The sequence below is a fragment of the Homo sapiens genome, chromosome 22 (assembly GCF_000001405.40).
Source record: "Homo sapiens chromosome 22, GRCh38.p14 Primary Assembly".
NCBI classification, from domain to species: Eukaryota; Metazoa; Chordata; class Mammalia; order Primates; family Hominidae; genus Homo; species Homo sapiens.
In genome coordinates, this window is record NC_000022.11 from 41,803,742 (window position 1) to 41,825,466 (window position 21,725).

General features: G+C 48.8%; 1 protein-coding gene across 3 annotated transcripts in view, besides 2 other annotated features; it reads left to right on the forward strand.

Annotated features, from left to right (window-relative positions):
• Window positions 1–21,725, forward strand: part of CCDC134 (coiled-coil domain containing 134) — a 31,486-nt gene that overhangs the window by 3,063 nt on the left and 6,698 nt on the right. For 2 of the 3 annotated variants that reach the window (NM_001382346.1, NM_024821.5), the window contains 5 exons: window positions 5,134–5,252; window positions 6,138–6,259; window positions 6,466–6,550; window positions 9,523–9,704; window positions 10,010–10,081. In NM_001382346.1, the coding sequence (NP_001369275.1) occupies window positions 5,150–5,252; window positions 6,138–6,259; window positions 6,466–6,550; window positions 9,523–9,704; window positions 10,010–10,081 (564 nt within the window). In that variant the 5' untranslated portion in view covers window positions 5,134–5,149. The remainder of the gene's footprint in view (window positions 1–5,133; window positions 5,253–6,137; window positions 6,260–6,465; window positions 6,551–9,522; window positions 9,705–10,009; window positions 10,082–21,725) is intronic. The other variant, NM_001304797.2, reaches the window with a different exon arrangement.
• Window positions 19,260–19,329: an enhancer, noted in NCBI's record as "active region_19136". NCBI's record gives its function as "activates an Ori minimal core promoter by ATAC-STARR-seq in GM12878 lymphoblastoid cells {active_cell/tissue: GM12878}" and the evidence as "EXISTENCE:reporter gene assay evidence [ECO:0000049][PMID:35858748]".
• Window positions 20,041–20,542: an enhancer, noted in NCBI's record as "NANOG hESC enhancer chr22:42219786-42220287 (GRCh37/hg19 assembly coordinates)". NCBI's record gives its function as "activates a minimal SCP1, AML or CMV promoter by ChIP-STARR-seq in naive and primed H9 embryonic stem cells {active_cell/tissue: H9 hESC(naive and primed)}" and the evidence as "EXISTENCE:reporter gene assay evidence [ECO:0000049][PMID:30033119]".

Below are 21,725 nucleotides of genomic sequence, written 5' to 3' on the forward strand. Positions count from 1 at the left end.
CGGGCTACAGAGTGAGACTCTGTCTCCAAAAATAATGTAAAATAAATAAATAGGAAAATAGGAAGTAATAGCAATGTGATAATCTCAGTTTGCATAATAGTTCTGAGAGGCCCACCGTGGTGGCTCACGCCTGTAATCCCAGCACTTTGGGAGGCTGAGACGGGCGGATCACGAGGGCAGGAGATGGAGACCATCCTGGCTAACATGGTGAAACCCCGTCTCTACAAAAAATACAAAAAAAATTACCCGGGCGTGGTGGCGGGCACCTGTAGTCCTAGTTACTCGGGAGGCTGAGGCAGGAAAATGGCGTGAACCTGGAAGGTGGAGCTTTCATTGAGCCGAGATTGCACCACTGCACTCCAGCCTGGACGACAGAGCCAGACTCCTACTCAAAAAAAAAGAAACGAGTAAGAGTCTCAAAATGATATGGAATCTTGTTCCAGTGTCTTCGGAAAAGCTATCTACAGTATGAAACCATCAACTTCTTATCCTGGTTTGCAGTTTGAATGTCTCTGGTTATGGCATTGGGATGTTTGGTGAACTTCCTGTGTGACCCATACATTAGGCACAAGGCTTGTACCTTAAAGTTCATCTAGTTTCAACTTACAGGGCTTCAGGAACAGAGCAGTGCCAATTTTTAATAATTTCATGAAAGAAAGTTAGATTGGAGGAATCTAGAATTCAGGAGCTAGTCCAGTATACAAGTAGATAATGAGAACTCAAAAACAATGCACAGGGCTGCAGTCTAATAACAGATGTACTATAGCTTTTTTTAGAAACAAAATTTTCTCTTTACAGTGATCACATAGGAATAACAGATTTAAAAACCATTTAAGGCTAGGAAGCAAAACCAAGGCAGACTTTAGATTTTACTTAACAGTCTTAAGGTTCCTGGGCCTGCCAGGAAGTGACAGATTTTACTCATTCACTGTAAGGCTGGGAATCTTTGAAGGCAGGCTTTCTATGTACATTCTCAAGTATGATATTCTAGTTAAAGCCCTGGTAATATAAGCAATATTTGTTGTATTCTGTTATAAGAGAGAACAGGCTGGGCACAGTGGCTCACGCCTGTAATCTCAGTACATTGGGAGCCCAAAGTGGGCAGATCGCTTAAGGCCAGGAGTTCGAGACCAGCCTGGCCAACATGGTGAAACGCTGTCTCTACTAAAAATACAAAAATTAGTCAGACATGGTAGTGCTCGCCTGTGATCCCAGTTACTGGGGAGGCTGAGGCGCAAGAATCACTTGAACCTGGGAGGTGGAGGTTGCAAGATCTGAGATCGTGCCACTGCACTCCAGCCTGAGCAACAGAGTGAGACTCTGTCTCAAAATAAAAAAAAAAGAGAGAGAGCAAAGTCTTACTGGACTTTTGCAAATAACCACATTGCCGTAAGAATACTCATGAATAGACCAGCATGGTGGCTCACGCCTGTAATCCTTTCACTGTGGGAGGCCATGGCAGCCTGATCACTTGAACCCAGGAGTTCAAGATCAACCTGGGAAACATGCCCAAACCCCATCTCTACTAAAAAATACAAAAATTAGCTGGGTGTGGTGGTGCATGCCTGTACTCCCAGGCCCTTGGGAGACTGAGGAAGGAGAATTGATTGAGCCTGGGAGGTCAAGGCTACAGTGAGCCATGATTATACCACTGTACTCCAGAGGGAGACCCTGTCTAAAAAATAAAAAATAAAATAAAAAAAAGAATACTTTTCTTGAATAGTTTTCAAATTTTAGATGGGTTAAATAGGGAGAAAAAGTAAATGTTTCCACCTCTCTTTACAAAAGTATTTCTTATGGAATTGCTGTAAACTATAGATAGCTTAAGAGAAAAAGTTTCCTTAAATTTAGAAAACAAAACAAGTAAAGAACCAATAATATTCCAAATATATGTCATAAACACATTACTCTGGCAGGGTGGCTCATGCCTGTAATCTCAGCACTTTGGGAGGCCAAGGCAGGAGGATTGCTTGAGCTCAGGAGTTTGAGACCAGCCTAGGCAATATAGCAAGATCCTACCTCTACAAAAAGATTTTAAAAATTATAATAGCTGGGCATGGTGACATGTGCTGGTAGTCTCAGCTACACAGGATGTTGAGGTAGGAGGCTTGTTTAAGCCCAAGAGGTTGAGGCTGCAGTGAGCCTGGATGACAGAGTGAGACCCTGTCTCAAAAATAAATAAATAAATACAGAAAAGAAAAGAAAATTATCTTCATCAGTTTTTAATTGAGTTCTGTTTGATTTTGATTAGAGATTTCAGGAATTCATCAGTTTCTTCATTAGAGTTCTGAAAATTCTTTATTTAGTCCATAGATCTTAAAGTTTTTAAGTTTTTAGAAACTTGTATTTAAGATTACTTGTTAGAGTCTTCTTATGAATCTGATTGCAAATGCTCTTAGAGAAGAATCAGAACCACAGATGACAAAGACTTGGAACAACCATGGTTGAAAATCTTTTTTTTTTAGGCGACTAATTTTTTTTTTTTTTTTTTTTTTGATTCGCAGTCTCGCTCTGTTGCCCAGGCTGGAGTGCAGTGGTGCGATCTCGGCTCACTGCAACCTCTGCCTCCTGGGTACAAGCGATTCTCCTGCCTCAGCCTCCCAAGTAGCTGAGATTACAGGCACATGCCTCCACGCCCGGCTAATTTTTTTTGTATTTTTAGTAGAGACGGGGTTTCACTGTGTTAGCCAGGATGGTCTTGATCTCCTGACCTTGTGATCCGCCCACCTCGGCCTCCCAAAGTGCTGGGATTACAGGCATGAGCCACCATGCCTGTCCCCATGGTTAAAAATCTAATGGAAGTTCATTATAATCAGCAGTGGACAAGGAAATTTGTCAATTTGTTATTTATGTGTCGCAAGCAATACAGAAGGTTACCAGGGTGTAAAAACAAAAAAATCTTAACCCTTTCATAGCTCAGGTTTTATGAAAAAGTTGTGAATTTCATCAGACACAGGCAGAGTGTGTCCAAGGTTATGAGTTTCCATCATATTATAGTGGAATGTAAACAAGAAAACTAGTACCAGCCAGGCACGGTGGCTCACGACTGTAATCCCAGCACTTTGGGAGGCTGAGGCGGTGGATCACCTAAGGTCAGTAGTTCAAGACCAGCCTGGCCAACATGGCAAAACCCCGTTGCTACTAAAAATACAAAAATTAGCTGTGTGTGGTGGCAGGCAACTGTAATCCCAGCTACTCGGGAGGCTGAGGCAGGGAGAATCGCTTGAACCCAGGAAGCGGAGGTTGCAGTGAGCCGAGATCGTGCCATTGCTCTCCAGACTGGGCAACAGAGCAAGACTCCGTCTCAAAAAAACAAAACAAAACAAAAACTAGTGCCTTCAACTGGGGAATACCTGGCTCTTAGTTAAAAGCATGAGAAATTTCCTGGTTAAATGGAACAATTCAGACACATCAAGAAAAGCCCGAAGTACAGAATCAAGTTATACTAGAGGAAAACATTGTTTTTCTAGGCCCTCAAGACAGAATATTTGAGTGTCAGGCCGTAACAGCAGAGTTAGAACCAGAGAAAAAAGCTATAGTAGCCGGGTGCAGTGACTCACACCTGTATCCCAGTACTTTGGGAGGCCAAGATGGGTGGATCACTTGAGCCCAGGAGTTCAAGACTAGCCTGGGCAATGTAGCAAAACCCACGTCTAAGAAAAATACAAAAAATAGCCGTGCATGGCGGCATGCACCTGTAGTGCCAGCTATTCAGGAGGCTGAGGTGGGAGGATGGCTTGAGCCTGGGAAGTGGAGGCTGCAATGAGCCATGACTGTGCCACTGCACTCCAGCCTGGGCAGCAGAGCAGGACCCTGTCTCAAAAAAAAAAAAAAAAATTACAGGAACTAACAAAAAACATTTAAGAGAATTACCACCCCAGCCAAGTGAAAAGATGCATCCTTTCAAGGGGAGAAAGAGGAAGGGTGGAAGGCAGCAATGTATGTCCTGGGAATCACCAGGAAAGTGAACTTCACAGTGCTCAATAAATAATTGTGTTGGCTGGGCATAGTGGCTCACGCCTGTAATCCCAGTATTTGGGAGGCTGGGGCGAGAGGATCTCTTGAGCTCAGGAGTTGGAGACCAGCCTGGGCAATATAGCAAGACCTCATCTCTACTAAGGAAAAAATAAATAAAAAGGGCCGGGCGCGGTGGCTCACATCTGAATCCCAGCACTTTGGGAGGACAAGGCAGGCGGATCACCTGAGGTTGGGAGTTCGAGACCAGCCTGGCCAATATGGAGAAACCCCGTCTCTACTGAAAATACAGAATTAGCTGGGCATGGTGGCGCATGCGTGTAATCCCAGCTACTCAGGAGGCCGAGGCAGGAGAATCGCTTGAACCCGGGAGGTGGAGGTTGCAGTGAGCCGAGATTGCGCCATTCCACTCCAGCCTGAGCAACAAGAGTGAAACTCCATCTTAAAAAAAAAAAATTAAATTAAAATAAATAAATAATTGTTGCATGTTGCCTGAATATGAACAGGTATTCTATGTAGTACCTATGGTTCCAAAGTGAGTGAGTAGCAAGCCCCCTTACCCCGAGACTGCCCTGCCTTCCTCCCTGCCCTTTGTCCCTTCTTACTTTCTGATGACAAAAGTCAAGGAAGGAGGAAAACTCCAGAAGTTTCATATCTTCTCTGCCTGGGCTTCCTTGACCAGATGCTTTCCTGGGAGACCAGGATAGGGGATGTGGAAGGAATACTGTTGACGAGCCCCTCCTCCCCAGGCACAGTGCCTCACCCAGACCTCCCTCCCTGCAGCAGGGAGGTGACCTCCTTATCCCTGTTCTACAGCTGAGAAGGCTGAGGCTCAGAAAGGCTGGGCAAGCTGCTCGAGGTCCCAGAGACGGGCGGGGGCAGGGCTCCAGCCTAGAGCTCTAGCCACTGACCCTGTGCTCTAAGTGTTCCTGTGTTACACACACTTATCTTTCTCCCCACCTCCTAGCATCCCACGGCTCTGTATTGTGTGCCTGCTGGCCCTGGGATAAGAGCTGCAGCTTCAGGGCTCCCCAAAGCTGGGTTCTTGGTATACAGAGGCTGCACTATGTCGGGGGAAGCTGCTGTTCACCTGTGCACTCTATTTTATGTAACACCGATCTCTGAGTCTCACTCTCTTTCTTTGGGTTATTCTTCCAGCTCAAGAGGTTTGGATATGGACCTTCTTCAATTCCTGGCCTTCCTCTTTGTCCTGCTTTTGTCTGGGATGGGAGCCACAGGCACCTTGAGGACCTCCCTGGACCCAAGCCTGGAGATCTGTATCCTTTGGGGTTGTAGTTAATGAGCTGTCTTTGAGAGGTCTATAAATGAGGTTCTTCTACTCAGGGATTCCAGGGATAAGCAGGCCCAGCTGGCGGGAACAGGGAGAAAAGGTGAGGTGCTCTAGCCAGACCTTGAGCAAGTCAGGTCTCTCCGGAGCTTCAGCTTCCGCGTATGGTAAATGGAGATGACAAGGCCCATCTCTAGACTGCAAAGGCTCAGTGAGGACTGTGCATGGCCTGGCACCTTGTGGGCAAGATCCTGGGTGGAGACTCAGGAATTCTGGATTACTGGCCCATCTGGACCCTGGTGAACTGGGCCACCTGCTCCAGGCCAGGCCTCAAGGACACGAAGATGAATTACAACAAGTCCCCTGGCTTTGAGGTGTCCATAAGCCCAGGGGGAGAAAGTATCCAAACAAATGATCATGTTACTCTGTGACCAGTGCTCTGATGGGCACAGGAGGGGTCAGGGAGAAACACTGTGTGATGGTTTTTGAGCCAGGCCTTGAAAGGAAAGAAACTCCTAGAGGAGGGTGAGGGGCATCCTGGGCAGAGAGGGTGCAGCGCGAGCAGAGAGGTGGAGGCTCTGGAACAGTAGAATGCTTGTGGAGACGGCAGGAAGACCACAGCAAAGGGAAGGCAGGAGCCAGGTCTGGAGGCTTGGTTTCAGGCTTCTGGGTGTGGAGCGCCATGGGAACTGGATGAATAGTGCGTTGCAGGTCCATGCACTTGTCAGTTTGTTCATTTCCTGGAGGCTTCTAGCCCTGGGTGTCCATGGCCCTTGCAGATACTTGCTGGTCAGGAATGAGCCTTCTGAGGCAAGACTGCTGGATTGTCCAGGCAGGGCTATTGATGCCAGCCCCTTAACTTAATTCTGCCCAGACAAGAAGATGTTTGAGGTGAAGCGGCGGGAGCAGCTGTTGGCACTGAAGAACCTGGCACAGCTGAACGACATCCACCAGCAGTACAAGATCCTTGATGTCATGCTCAAGGGGCTCTTTAAGGTGTGTGCAGGCAGGGGGCAGCTCATGGCAGGTCCAGTCTTTGATCTAGGCACTGATGGGTAAACAGGAGTTCCCTAACGGGTTGGTGTTCAGGGACAGGGGAACTGCGCACACGTAAGACTTGAAGTGGGGTTTAAATAAATGGGGATGGGAGCAGTCTGTGATGGGCACTGCGAAGCCACTCAGCCCTGGCGGGATTCCCTCAGGTGCTGGAGGACTCCCGGACAGTGCTCACCGCTGCTGATGTGCTCCCAGATGGGCCCTTCCCCCAGGACGAGAAGCTGAAGGATGGTATGGTCTGCCCTGCCCCGCCCTGTCCTCCGCACCACCCGATCTTCTCTAGCTGCTCCTTCTCTCCTGTTCTTGTCACTCTTTTTTTCTCCCCGGAAGTGCCCTCTTGTGGCACCTTCTAAGTGGTCCCCTTGGGCAGATGGGCGTTTCGTGAGTGGCCTCCCTAATTAACTGGCTACTTTTTAGCAATAGCATTTCTTTTTTTTTTTTTTTTTTTTTTTTTGAGACAGAGTCTCACTCTGTCGCCAGGCTGGAGTACAGTGGTGTGATCTCGGCTCACTGCAACCTCCACTTCCCGCGTACAAGTGATTCTCCTGCCTCAGCCTCCCAAGTAGCTGGGACTACAGGCACATGCCGCCACACCCAGCTAGTTTTTGTATTCTTAATAGAGACGAGGTTTCACCATGTTGGCCAGGATGGTCTCGATCTCTTGACCTCATGATCCGCCCACCTCGGCCTCCCAAAGCGCTGGGATTACAGGCGAGAGCCACTGCACCCGGCCACAATAGCATTTCTTAGATTACACTGAGAGGATGCGGACAGCTCTTATATATTAAATAGTAGATACTTTACAACCATGAACTCAAATCTCCACCATAACTCTGGGGGAAGACACTGTTCTCTCTACTTTCTATATGAAAGAGGACAAGTGATTTGCCTTGGCTCTTCCCTCTGAATCAGGCTGACTTCCTGAGTTCTTTGAGGTTCAAGATTATTCTGAAGCCCCGGGGTCCCTGCCTGACATGTCTCAGACCCACCCTGGCATATCTTTGGAGTCTACTTATCTTTCTGCGTGGCCTCTTAGTGCTGGTGAGGGCTGCCTGGGCCCTTTCTGACAGGCTGGCTCCAATAGGGACTGCTTAGACCTGTTTACACAGTTACACTTTTGGCTAACCTGGATCTGGGGGACTTGCTACCATGATGGACACATGTTCCTTGGTGAGCAGGTCTGTGCAAACCTACCCTCCAAGGCCAAGGGAGCTGAGAGCGCCAGTTTCTCAGAAAGAAACATTTATTAGGGACTTCTGAACAGAACCATGTCTCAGGCAGAAATGAGATGGTGGTCTCTACACCCAACCTCCAGAAAGTATTCTTTACTTGTTGTTTTGCAGACGACAATGCTTGTACAGAAACTATTCTTTTCTTTTTTTTCTTTTGAGACAGTCTTACTCCATCACCCAGGCTGGAGTGCAGTGACACAATCTCAGTTCACTGCAACCTCTGCCTCCCAGGTTCAAGTGATTCTTGTGCCTCAGCCTCCCGAGTAGCTGGAATTAGAGACATGCGCCCCCAGGCCCGGCTAATTTTTGTATTTTTAGTAGAGATGGGGTTTTGCCATGTTGGCCGGGCTGGTCTCGAACTTTTGATGTCAAGTGATCTACCCGCCATGTGGACTCCCAAAGTGCTGGGATTACAGGGGTGAGTTACCACACCCGGCCAAAAGTATTGTTTATACAGCAAGCTTTTAGGTTAAAACATGCAGCTGGTGACATCTCAGGCTTTCGTGTGAAACTTGTGACCACTGGGGAAGTTAAATAATCATCTTTTTGAGGGGTTATCTATGCTACCGGCATTGTTTAAAGACCTTGCTGCAGAATACCTTGGTGTGCACGGGTCAAACCTCAGCCATTATGGCTTCAAGATGGTGCCACGCTTGTCTTGCAGCAGGCTGTTTTCCTACAGCACACTAACAAAGCTCAGTCTAAATTGACCTGTTGACCAGTAGAAGCACATTAGTAGGAAAACAGAAAATTCAAATTAAGTCTGTTAGGTTAGTTGGTAGTATTGTATTGCTGTTAATTTCCTGGTTTAGATAGTTGTATGTTGGTTATATAAGATGACAACACTAGGCCAAGCAGGTGGCTTACTCCTGTAATCCCAGCACTTTGGGAAGCCGAGGCAGGCGGATTACTTGAGTTCGAGTTTGAGACCAGCCTGGCCAAACACGGTGAAACCCCATCTCTACCAAAAATATAAAAAAGTAGCCGGGTGTGGTGGCATGCACCTGTAATCCCAGCTACTCGGGAGGCTGAGGCAGGAGAATCACTTGAACCCGCGAGGCGGAGGTTGCAGTGAGCCAAAATCATGCCACTGCACTCCAGCCTGGACAAGAAAGCGAGACTCCGTCTCCAAAAAAAAAAAAAAAAAAAAAAGGATGGTAACATTAGAGGAAGCCAAGTGAATGAATTTTATGTTATGTTATGTTAAGTCCAAGATAATTTCAGGCCGAGTGCAGTGGCTCATGCCTATAATCCCAGAGCTTTAGAAGGCCGAGGTAGGAGGATCACTTGAGGCCAGGAGTTTGAGATCAGCCTGGGCAACAAAGTGAGACCTCACCTCTAAAGTAATTAATTAATTAATTAAATATATTCATTCATTCATTCAAAATAAGAACTTAAGCACTTAAAATGAAATAAAATGGAAAGAATATTAAAAAAGAAAAATGCTGGCCTGTTGTGTGGCCATCCTAAGATACCTGAGGTCTCACAGACACTCTAGTTGTGTTAACACCAGGGCCAGCACTGGACATTTGGATAACATGTCGGTGGGGGGGTCAAGCCCAGTAAAGTCTCATGTGATACATCAGCATCTGTGTGCAGAACAACACTCACTTCTCTGGTCCCCACAGCAAATGTGTCTTCTAAGCAGCAAGATGTGCCTTTGGGCTGACGGACCTGGGTTTGCAGCCCAGATTTGCTACTCACTAGCTGCTGAGCCTCAGTTTCCCATCTGTAAAATGGGAACAGCAGCCACATCTCCCTCTAAAAGTGGTTATGAGGACTCAGTGAGCTGGTGGATGTAAGGCCCTAGTTCGCACTGTACATGTGATTGGCAGCCTGTGGTCAGTAGGCACTGTTCCTTCCTTGCTTGGTGGGTTTGGTGGATGTCTCTGTTCTCTAGAGGATGCCAGGGGCCAGTGAGGCAGCCAGGAGAGCATCTGCCCTGGCCACTCATCAGGGTCCTCTCGCCAGCTTTCTCCCACGTGGTGGAGAACACGGCCTTCTTCGGCGATGTGGTGCTGCGCTTCCCGAGGATTGTGCACTATTACTTTGACCACAACTCCAACTGGAACCTCCTCATCCGCTGGGGTATCAGTTTCTGCAACCAGACAGGCGTCTTCAACCAGGGGCCCCACTCGCCCATCCTCAGCCTGGTAAGGACTGGGGTGGAGGTGGCCCGGGAGCCCTCTGTCGGGTAGTGGACTAGGATCCTCACATCTGCCTTCAGTTGGGCCTGAACGTCAGTGCTTGGTTACATTTTCTTTGTGGAGCTTCAGGGTATCTTGGGCCACAGAGGCCCCATTTCAAGGGATTCTGTGCTGACCCAGTTCCCATGGGATCATCATGTGGCCCACATCTGCCCAAGTCAGGAGTCTGGGTCCCAGCATGGAAGGAATGACTCTCTGGTGAGCAGGACTCAGGAGAAGGCAGATGATGACTAGTGTTTCTTCATCTGCAGATGGCCCAGGAGCTGGGGATCAGTGAGAAAGACTCCAACTTCCAGAACCCATTTAAAATCGACCGCACAGAGGTGAGCTGCCAGGGCCTATGCCTGTGTCTGCTTTGCCTCTGCTGGGCCATAGGACACCGAGGCCTGCAGGGGCTGGGGACCTTGGGTGGCTTTGGACTTGGAGCCAGGCAGCCTGGGCCTGGGTCCAGAAGATATCACTGACTCATTGGAGCCTGTGGGCAAGTCATTGCTCCCCTCTTAGCCTCAGGCTCCCTGTCTGTTCACAGCATGTGAACTCCAGTTATGGGGGGTAGTTAGGAGGCTATGAACAAACCCATCCCAGCACAAAATAGGCATCCCACTTCAGGTGGATATCAGGGTAGCTAGGGAGATCAGGCCATGCTCTTCCCTGCCTTTGAACCTCTGAGCACCAACTGGGCTTCCATCCCGCACTCCTGTACATGCTCTCATTCCAGGGGTTCCAGGGGGCTGAGGTGGGCTTTGAGAGCTGGAGACCAAGTTTGGGATAAAAGATGAGGACAGGCCGGGCACGGTGGCTCACATCTGTAATTCCAGCACTTTGGGAGGCCGAGGCGGGTGGATCACCTGAGGTCAGGAGTTCGAGACTAGCCTGGCCAATATGGTGAAACTCTGTCTTTACTAAAAATACAAAAAACTGGCCAGGCGTGGTGGTGCATGCCTGTAATCCTAGCTATTCAGGAGACTGAGGCAGGAGAATCGCTTGAACCCGGAAAGTGGAGGTTGCAGTGAGCTGAGATCGTGCCATTGCACTCCAGCCTGGGCAACATGAGTGAAACTCCGTATCAAAAAAAAAAAAGGGGGGACAGATACGATAGATGGAGGAAGGGATTGGAAGTGACAGGGCTAGGAGGGGCAGGAAGGAAGGGCTGTGGTGGCTGGAGGACTGGACTTGTCAAACCCTGGTGTCGGGAGGGGTGTTGGGTGTCTCAAGGGTCTAGGATTTAATTCTGCCTCCAGGCCAACAAGCTAGCCTGCTACTGTTTCATGGACACTGATAGGTCAGAGACATTGGACTGTATTACAGCAAAGGCACTAGCTAGACTGTTGGCCTGGTTGTGTTGGTTCATCTTGTTCCCTAACTCCCACGGAGGTGACACAGAGGGGCCAGGTGGGCGCTGTGCATGCAGGGGGTGTGCATCATAGCTGAGAACTGCCAAGCTGGAGAAATTCATGATTTTTATAGTGAACCGCAGCAAATGTGCTCTTTGGGAAGAGACATCACCACACCGTTCGAGGTTGCTCTCTGCAAACACAATCCTAAGACATGGCCCAGGTAAAGAGTGGTTAGGGCTTTGTATCTTTGGTGTGCCCTGCAAGAATATGCAGGGATGCTCAGGGCCATGATGGATTGCCACCCCAACAGTCTGCCCCAAGCCCAAGCCCTCCATGGCTTGGTTTAACTCAAATTTTCTTTTCTTTTCTTTTTTTTTTTTTTTTTTTGAGATGTAGTCTCGTTCTGTCGCCCAGGCTGGAGTACAGTGGCGCGATCTCGGCTCACTGCAAGTTCTGCCTCCTGGGTTCACGCCATTCTCCTGCCTCAGCCTCCCCAGTAGCTGGGACTACAGGCGCCCGCCACCACACCTGGCTAATTTTTTGTATTTTTAGTAGAGACGGGGTTTCACCATGTTAGCCAGGATGGTCTTGATCTCCTGACCGCGTGATCCACCCGCCTCGGCCTCCCAAAGTGCTTGGATTACAAGCGTGAGCCACCGCACCCGGCCTAACTCAAATTTTCACACGAATGTGCTATTCAGTCTGATTGATCTGACTGATAGAGGCTAGGACCAAATCTGTCAATTAGTCTCATACTTCATTTAATTAAGATTACTATCAACTATATTCTGAATAGCAGGGTAAGGCCAACCTACATTATTATTATTTTTTTTATAGACAGGGTCTTGCTCTGTCACCCAAGCTCTGTCACCCACCTAGCTTACTGTAACCTTGAACTCCTGGGCTCAAACAGACCTCCCACCTCAGCCTCCTGAGTAGCTGGGACGACAGGCCTGTGCGACACCATTCCTGGCTAATTAATTTATTATTTTTTTCAGAGACAGGTTCTTGCTGTGCTGCCTAGGGTGATCTCAAACTCCTGGGCTCAAGCCATCTTCCTGTCTCAGCCTCCCAAAGTGTTGGGATTATAGGTGTGAGTCACTGTGTCTGGCCCCTAACCTGCAATATTGAACAGGGTCCTGGACTCAACCAGCTGTGAAGGTCCTGGAGGACCAGTAAGTCTCATTTTGGATAATCAGGATATTGTCTAAGACCAATCTGTTATCCACGACCACCCACATAAGAGAGTTTAGATTGACCTGCCAATCTTTGATGTTACTGCCAATAAGTACAGGGGGCAATAGATGGACCCAAGCAACCCTCATGCCCCCATAAGGAGACATTCCATGACCCATTCTCTCCCACATGTTACGCTTGATTTGAGTCACCAGAACAATGTTTAGTTGAGCCTGAGGGCAGTGTCACTGTGGAGCTTCAGCCTCAGTTGCCTACATGGTATAATCCAAGGCTACTCAGACATCAGGAAAAGCAGATGAATTTGTATCTGTCAGGTTGAAACAAAATTGTGCTGGCTGGTGTGTCTGCACAAGGTCACTGTTGAGAACTACCTTTGATGGCATTAGACACAGCAGAATAGCTCAGTACTGACGTGTCCATGTGAGTTTTCCTATCATGTGGATGGAAATGAGACACCCAACAGTTGGCCATATTGACAGCTGCAGCTGCCACTGGGCTTGGGCAGACCCTAGGATTGTTTTGCCAGGTGGCAGTGATGGATCTAAGGGATAAAGAGAACATTAATTGTTCCCTGCACTTTCTGGGATCTAAGGTATATCCTCCCCAGGTGGCAGGATTATTGCTATAAAATCCATGTGTCCTTGGGAGACCGAGGTGGGCGGATCATGAGGTCAGGAAAATCAAGACTATCCTGGCCAACATGGTGAAACCCCGTCTCTACTAAAAATACAAAAATTATCCGGGTGTGGTGGCGCATGCCTGGAGTCCTGGCTACTCAGGAGGCTGAGGCAGGAGAATTGCTTGAACCCAGGAGGCGGAGACTGCAGTGAGCCAAGATCGCACCACTGCACTCCAGCCTGGCGACTGAGTGAGACTGTCTCACAAAAACAAAACAAAACAAAAAGCATATGTCCTATGCCAGCATCTATAGTTTCACTTTTTCTCCAGTTGTTGCCTACTATCACTTAGATCTTTCATTCAGAAATGTCAGGTATGAATGGGACCAGGGCATTTTTACAGATGTATAGAGACCTGTTATATCTCTTCTCTTTACCCACATGGGCCACTGCAGGGAAATCAGCAAGCAGGATACTCAGCCAAGTGGTCACAATCCTAACAATCTCAGGCTGTACCATTCCAACCAGAGACTCAGGTAGTTGAACCAGAAATATACAGTCCTCTGTTTTGTGCCACTCCTTGGTAGTGGGTATGTTACCATGCCAAGTAGAATGATATGTTTAGGTGGCAGTGGCAGTGATCTGGATGAAGTAGGCTTGATCAGCAGTTTGACTCCATTTGGTCTTTTCAGAGATTGAGCTTTATGATGGGCATCTAAACGAGTGAGCCAGGCTGTCTAGTTTGTCACCACAATTTGTTTCCATAGTCTGTGGCCCTAAAGAGGGGTGAGGGGTAGGTATCGCCAGGCATGGTGGCTCACACCTGTAATCCCAGCACTTAGGGACCGAGGCAGGCGGATTGCCTGAGGTCAGAAATTTGAGACCATCCTGGCCAACATGGTGAAACCCTGTCTCTACTAAAAATACAAAAATTAGCCGGGCGAGGTGACGCATGCCTGTAGTCCCAGCTACTCGGGAGGCTGAGGCAGGAGAATCGCTTGAACCCGGGAGGCAGAGGTTGCAGTGAGGTGAGATTGCACCACTGCACTCCAGCCTGGGCAACAGAGCAAGACTCTGTCTTAAATAAATAAATAAATAAATAAATAAATAAATAAATAAAAAGAGAGGGGTAGGTATCTTTGATCTGCCAGTTTGTAATCTCCAGATGACCAGGACACTGACAATAGTCAGTAAGAATATAACATGCATGGCTGTTAGGAAGGAGTGTCATCCAAGCAAGGGTGATACCTTTTAATTCAGGCCATTGTCTGACTGGCCTTTATGGCAGTTAATCAGCCAGCATTGTTACTGGGGCTGGCTGACTGTTGCTGCCCATGGACACCTGTGTCAGGTTCCCAGAACCACTCCCAGGCTTGATGGTTCAATAGGAGGATTCACAGGACTCAGCATATGGTCATATTCATGGCCACGATTTACTACAGAGAAAAGATACAAAGCAAAATCAGCAAAGGGAAAAGGTGCATCAGGCAAAGTCCAGGGGAAATAGGCTCAGCTTCCAGAGTCCCCTCCAAGTAGAGTCAAACAGGATGTGCTTCATTCCTCCCGCAATTAGTTGTAACAACGTGTTTAAAATGTTTTCTACCAGGAAACTTAATGAGGGACCTAGTGCCTGGGTTTTTACTGGGAGCTAGTCATGTGGGTACTTTTTGCCTAACATATCAAAATGGCAAACTCCCCGGAGCAAAGTATGTATTCAGCAGAAACCATATTGTTTGCACAAACAGTTTAGGCACAGCGAACCACAGTTAGCAGTTAAGGTGGTGGGGACCCTCCTGAAATGCAAGTTCCCAGATGTCTGCTAAGGGCTAACCTTGGAAGCAGGCCTTTCAAAGGTTAGGAGTCAGGCCAGCTGTGTTGACTCTTTTCTGTACAACACTATTAGCTTTTATATTAGCTGAATTACAGTGGGCTAGGCCTGAGTACTTGGGGGAACCTGTGAATCGAGGGTCCTGTTGAGCCAGTGGCTTTGCTTTATGTGGCAGAGTCGGGGATGCTGTTTCCTCAGTGGGGTAGCTGCCACCCCTGCATGCCCAGCTGAAATGACGCATACCCCAAGGTTGCATGCTGCAATCATTACCCTGATAAATGGCCCAGATCAAGAACAGCCACGGCCTTCCGTTCTTGGTTTATGCAGCAAGAAAACATGTGTGGACACTCAAGGCCATGGCAGATTGCCTTTCCCAGCAAGGGGTTACCCATGGAGATGCTTTATTGCTGTGATGCCAGTTCTTCTTGCTATGCAGGTCATAGATGCCTCACTTAAACGCAGGAGGAGGGTGACAGCATAGGCCACAGAGAGAATGGGTGCCAGGATAAGTTGAGTCCAGCTTTATCATAACGTATTCTACTTGGACATAACCACAGCAGCAACATACTTTCCTTACATGCTGGATGGGGACAGTTCTGAGATTTTCCTCACTTTTTGATATCCTGCGTGGACTTGTCTCTCGCAGGAGCCCCAGATTTGCTTGGCTCCCCTCACATACTCCCTCCATGCTGGTGAGAGTTCTGAGTTCTCCTGCTTCTTATGTACCCATCACTAGAGTCAACTCGTATCAGGCTGTGTGCCAGCCACTGTCCCTGTCCAGGGGGCTGGCCCTGTCGCAGCTCCTCAGATGCTCACAGTCTGATGGGGAAGGCAGCAGGGAAATAGTTCTAATCCGGTGTAACTGTTATACTGGTAAGAAGCATAATTCTCTGAGGCGAGCCTGACCCAGCCTTGGCAGGGAGGTGGGATGAGTTATTTGCTGGGTGGACCAGCTGAGGCAGGGCCTTCAGGGCAGAGGGACGAACTTATGCAAAGGCTCAGATGCATCCCACATTCATTCATTCAGCATCAAGTGAGTATCTATTGCATCCTGCCCCTTGGGGAAGCAGGCTAGCCCTGTTCTCCTGGGAGTGGCATTCTAGTTGGGGAAGACAGGCAGTCAACTTAAAAATATATAATGTGGTAGGTGGTGACAAGGGCTGTGGAGAAAAAAGGCAGGGGAATGTGGTTAAGGAATGCCCGGGGTAAGGTGGGGGTGCAGTTGCTATTTCACATGGCCTGGGTACTGTCTTACTGAATTATCTGAAGGAGATGAGGAGTCATCTGTGTATCCCAAGGAAGAACATTCCAGGCTGAAGGAGCAGCAAGTGCAAAGGCTGTGAGTTGGAAGCATATTTTGGGGCTGGGGAGTGTCAGGAGATGGGGTCAGAGTTGTAGGCCTGATCCTGAGACCCTCAGAGGTCTTCACAAGGGCTTTGGCACCTACCCTGAGGGACCTGGAGAGCAGGCTGTGACTTACCACTTTATATATATATATATATATATATATATATATATATAATTTTTTTTTTTTGAGACGGAGTCTCACTCTGTCCACGCAGGCTGGAGTGCAGTGGCGCGATCTTGGCTCACTGCAAGCTCTGCCTCCCAGGTTCACGCCATTCTCCTGCCTCAGCCTCCTCAGTAGCTGGGACTACAGGCACCCACCACCACGCCCGGCTAATTTTTTTGTATTTTTAATATAGACGGGGTTTCACCATATTAGCCAGGATCGTCTCGATCTTCTGACCTCGTGATCCGCCCACCTCGGCCTCCCAAAGTGCTGGGATTACAGGTGTGAGCCACCGCTCCCAGCCGTTATTTATATATATATTTTTAAGACAGATTTTTGCTCTTGTTGCCCAGGCTGGAGTGCAATGGTGCGATCTTGGCTCACCACAACCTCCGCCTCCCAGATTCAAGCGATTCTCCTGCCTCAGCCTCCTGAGTAGCTAGGATTACAGGCGCAGACTTACCACTTTAAAGAGGTCATCTGGCTGCTGTGTGGAGCATGGTCGGGGACCAGAAGCAGGGACACAGGTGTGGAGGCTGCTGTGCTCATCTGTGTGGCAGTTGATAGTGGCTTGAACCAGACGATGACAGTGGAGCTGCTGAGAAATGGTCAGGTTCTGCTTCTCTTTTGGAAGTAGAGCCAGTGGGATTTGCTGAGGAAGCATATGTGGTGAGAGAGAGAGGAGCGTTAAGCATGACTAGAAGACTTTTGGCCTGAGTGTCTGGAAGAATGGGACTCATTTTTTCAAATGCTTGGAGAGGGAGGGTAGTAAGAGTTTTTTTCTGCACCTGGTGAACATCGGAGTAAAGATGTCAAGGAGGTAGCTGGATATTTGACTCGAGACTTCAGGGAGGAAGGAGAAGCTGGACTTATAAATGTGAGAGCCATGCCTATGTAGAAGGCACCAAAAGCCGTGAGACAGGACACAGTCATCTGGGGCATCGGGCAGGTAGAGAAGCAGTCTGAGGACTGAGGCCTGGGATGGGGCTGGAGATAGAGGTTGAAGGACTGAGGAGGAAGCAGCGAGAACCCGCAGAAGGAGCAGTCAGCATGATGGTGGCCGACCCAAGAGTTTCCCAGAGGCCACATGAGGAAAGCGTTAGAAGTAGGGAGGGAGCGATCGGTGTGTCAGACGCTGCTGGGAGGTAAGGAAGGCGAGGACTGAGAATCGACTGCTGGACTGAGTAATGTTGAGGCCGCTGGTGGTCTTGATAAAAGCTGCTTTGAGGGGGTCCTGGGAACAAAAGATTGGATTTCCAGAGAATGAGAGGAAAGGAAGTGGATGTGGCAAGTATAGACAGCCCTTTCGAAAAGTTTTCCTTTCTTTTTTTTTTTATTATTATTATACTTTAAGTTTTAGGGTACATGTGCACAATGTGCAGGTTAGTTACATATGTATACATGTGCCATGCTGGTGTGCTGCACCCATTAACTTGTCATTTAGCATTAGGCATATCTCCTAATGCTATCCCTCCCCCCTCCCCCCACCAGTCCCCAGAGTGTGATGTTCCCCTTCCTGTGTCCATGTGTTCTCATTGTTCAATTCCCATCTATGAGTGAGAACATGCGGTGTTTGGTTTTTTGTCCTTAATGGGAGAATAGCTGGAGGACAATGTGGTTTCCAATGTTAGTCCCTTGGGAGAGACCACAGCAGGCTTGCACTATGTGGATGGGACTGATCCATTAGAGAGGGAGGACGTGATGAGGCCAGGGGCTAGGTTGCTGGAGCCTCATCTGGAGGAGGTGAGGAGGGGTGAGTTGTAGTGCTGGGGGAAGGCTTGGCCTTGTACAGAAGAGCAGGTCCTTAACCTTGAACAGGAGGGCGGGCAGAGCATGTGGGCACAGAAGCAAATGGGTTGGTGGGTGTGGTGGTCGAGCTGTGGGGGTTGTCTCCTGCTACTTTCATCCTCTCTGTGAGATAGAAAGCAAGGTCATGGTCTGGGAGTGAGGGGAGCACGGAGGCTTGAGGAGAAGGTATGTGCAGGAGAGCAGGAGGATGAGCGGACCAGGGAATGAGGCTGGATTGCCGGCAGCACGGAGGGCCTGCTCGTGGTTATTGTAGGGCTAAGGAGTTAGAGAAGGTAGAAGGCGGTGGCCAGAGTGGCATGCTTGAGGCTATGGAGGATGTGGTTGTTGTCAGGGACAGGCAGAGCAGGGTAGCTTGAAGACAGGAGGAGATAAGGCTGGAGACGTAGCATGGGGTCCGGGCCTTTGAACAACAAGCTTAGGAGTTTGGGGCTCTATCCTGGAGCCAGATGCATTTTTGCAGAGCAGGCAATGAAGAGTGAATTTGGAATAGAGAGGAAATAAATTGATGACTAACCTAACAGTGAAGACAGCGGAGGCACAGGGAGGTACAGTAATCAACCTGAGGTCTCACAGCCAGTAAGTGATGGAGTGAAGGTTCAAATACATGTGGTCTGCCTCTTGAACCATGCTCTTAACCACAGTGCTGTGTTGGCCATCAGCCTGCTGACCTGACCCAGGCTGGTCAGGTACAATCAGGGGTGGCCAGGGAAGATTCCTGGGGAGACATCTAAAGATAGATTCAAAAGATGACTAGGCACTGCCAGGCCTAGGTGGGGAAGGGAACAGGGAAAGGATGGGTGTGTTTCTCTTCTGACCCGGCTAGGTTAGGCTGAGCCTGCTGAGGCTGAAGGGGCTAAGATCTCTTGACTTGCCCTTGCCCAGCCAGAGTCAGAGAGGAATGGGGTCTCTGTGGCCTAAGGGGTCTCCCAGCTCCCCGTCTTAAGTGGATCAGGATTCACTCACAGAGACAGGAGCAGAGTGTGGTAGGGAAGTACTAGGCAGGGAAGTGTGCAGCCTGCAAGGCTAGTCCTAGTTGGGCCTACCACATGCTATGTGACTCACTTACCTTCTCTGGGCTACACTTCTGTGAATCCCCCCATCTTCCAAAGTCATGACTCAATCTAACCTGGTAGGCAGATTATTCCACAAGGTGGAGCCATTTGTTTGTTTTTAGTATCTACTTTGATCAGATCAAACATTTGTCACAATTGCCCTAGGAACAAATAAAAGGGTGTGTTTTACAGCACAGCTACCTGAGTTGTAGGCATAGTAAATCTTCACCTAACATCATCCATAGGTTCTTGGAAACTGTGACTTTAAGTGAATCTATGTATTACAAACCAATTTACCATAGGGTAATAGATATAAATAAGAGTTAAGTTACTACAGCATATTTCTGGTCAAAAAACCATTACCAGAATTTTTTTTTTTTTTTTTTTTTTGAGACAAAGTCTCGCTCTGTTGCCCAGACTGGAGTGCAGTGGTACAATCTCAGCTCACTGCAACCCCCGCCTCCTGGGTTCAGGTGATTCTCCTGTCTCAGCCTCCAAAGTAGCCGGGAATACAGGCGCCCATCACCACACCTGACTAATTTTTGTATTTTTCAGTAGAGACAAGGTTTCGCTATGTTGACCAGGCTGGTCTTGAACTCCTGACCTCAAGTGATCTGCCCACCTCAGTTTCCCAAAATGCTGGGATTATAGGCATGAGCCACGGCGCCCAACTCCAGTCTTCAAAATAAAAACCAAAACACTCTTAATATGAAACATTGAAATAAATGTGAACTATACATACATTTAAGAAAGATTCATCAAAACAAGTAAAATAATTATTTATCCATTTAGTCCCGTTCAGGGTCCAGCCTCTCCCAGCAACTCAGAGCATAAGGGAGGAACCAACCCTGGACAGGACGCCCTCCCATCACAGGGCACACTCACACATGCCTCCACAGTCAGACTGAGACAGTGTAGACATACCAGTGAACCCAACATGCACATCTTTGGGATGTGGGAAGAAATTGGAGTACCCAGAGAAAACCCACCAGAACACGGGGAGAATGTGTGGACTCCACACAGACAGTGGCCCTGGCCAGGAATCGATTGTTTTTTTTCTCATCCACATTATAATGACACGACCTTGAACTAAACCACTTTATTCGAGGACCTGCTGTGCTATTGTATTTCCTATTCTAACGTGGCTTGCTCATTCATTGAAAAAACACATATTGAATGCTCTTGAAAAGCCAGGAAGACTCTGTGCTAAGGCCTTGTGGCAGAGGACACTATCCTCCTACCCTCATGGAATGTGCTGTCTGGGAGGGCGATGGGCACAAGAAAGAAGGAATCAGCACAAAGTTGAAGGGAGCACACCACCAGGAGCAGCCCCTCAGGGAGTCAGGGCAGGTCTAGAGGGCAGTGAGTCAGCTGAGCCCGAGCTAATGTGGCAGAGGGGTGGGTGTTGGAAAGAGCGTTCTGGGCCTCAGCCACAGCACATGCAAAGGCCTGGAAGTGAGAGGGTACAGGGAATCCAAGAACATAAAGGTGGGGGATATGAGGGTAGGAACAGAGAGGCGGGCGGGGTGGACCTGCAGATACACCATGTGGAACTTTGTCTTGAGAGTCATGGAGAGCCATGGAAGCTGGAATGTGACATGCACAGATTTACATTTTGAAAAGATCCATCCGGCGCAGTGGCTCATGCCTGTAATCCCAACACTTTGGGAGGCTGAGGCGGATGGATCACGTGAAGTCAAGGTTTGAGACTAGCCTGGCCAACATAGCGCAACCCTGGCTCTACTAAAAATACAAAAATTAGCCAGGTGTGGTGGTGGGCGCTTGTAATCCCAGCTACTTGGGAGGCTGAGGCAGGAGAATCGGTTGAACCCGGGAGGTGGAGGTGGCAGTGAGCCAAGATTTCACCACTGCACTCCAGCCTGAGCGACAGAGCAAGACCTCTGTCTAAAAAGAAGAAAAGAAAAGAAAAGATCCAACTGCAGTGAGGAGAATGACTTGAGAGGGACCAAAGGGGATGTGGAAAGCCCTTGGGAGGCCCCTAGAGTCATCCAGCAGAGAGATGGGGGTGGTGATGGGGGCAGCAATAGTAGAGACAGAGAAGTGGATGGGTTTGAGAGAGATTTAGGGCTTGAAAGTAGCCAGGCCTTGGTGATGGACCCGAGGAGGGAGAGGGAATGCCGGGTGCAGGTGGGGCTCCTCGGTTTCTGCCCTGCTGCTCATCAGAACAGGGACTCTGGGGAGAGGGAACCATACTGAGTCTAGGGTGCATTTGGGACATCCTAAAGGAGGTCTCAGACAGGCATTTGGAAATGGAGATGCAAGTTTGAGGGGTAACTAACCACACAGGCCAACAGAAGCTATGAGTTAGACGAGACAATCTGGAGAGAGAGGAGGGAGGACAGCCAAGGGCCTGGGTTGCAGTTGAAGAATGCCCCCACGCCACCCCCTACCGCCAATGAAGTCCTCATCCTCCACCCCCCCACTTGCCTTGTCATCTGTGACTCTGGCTGACCTCCCTCCTCTCCTCCTGAAGGGTGCAGCAGGTGTGGGGCTCCCGGGTCTGTGGTGGTCTCAGCCACTCTACTCCCTCACCCTGGAGGAGTCTGTGTGTTGTTTCTCAGATGCCCCATGTAGGTTCCCACCTCAGCATCCG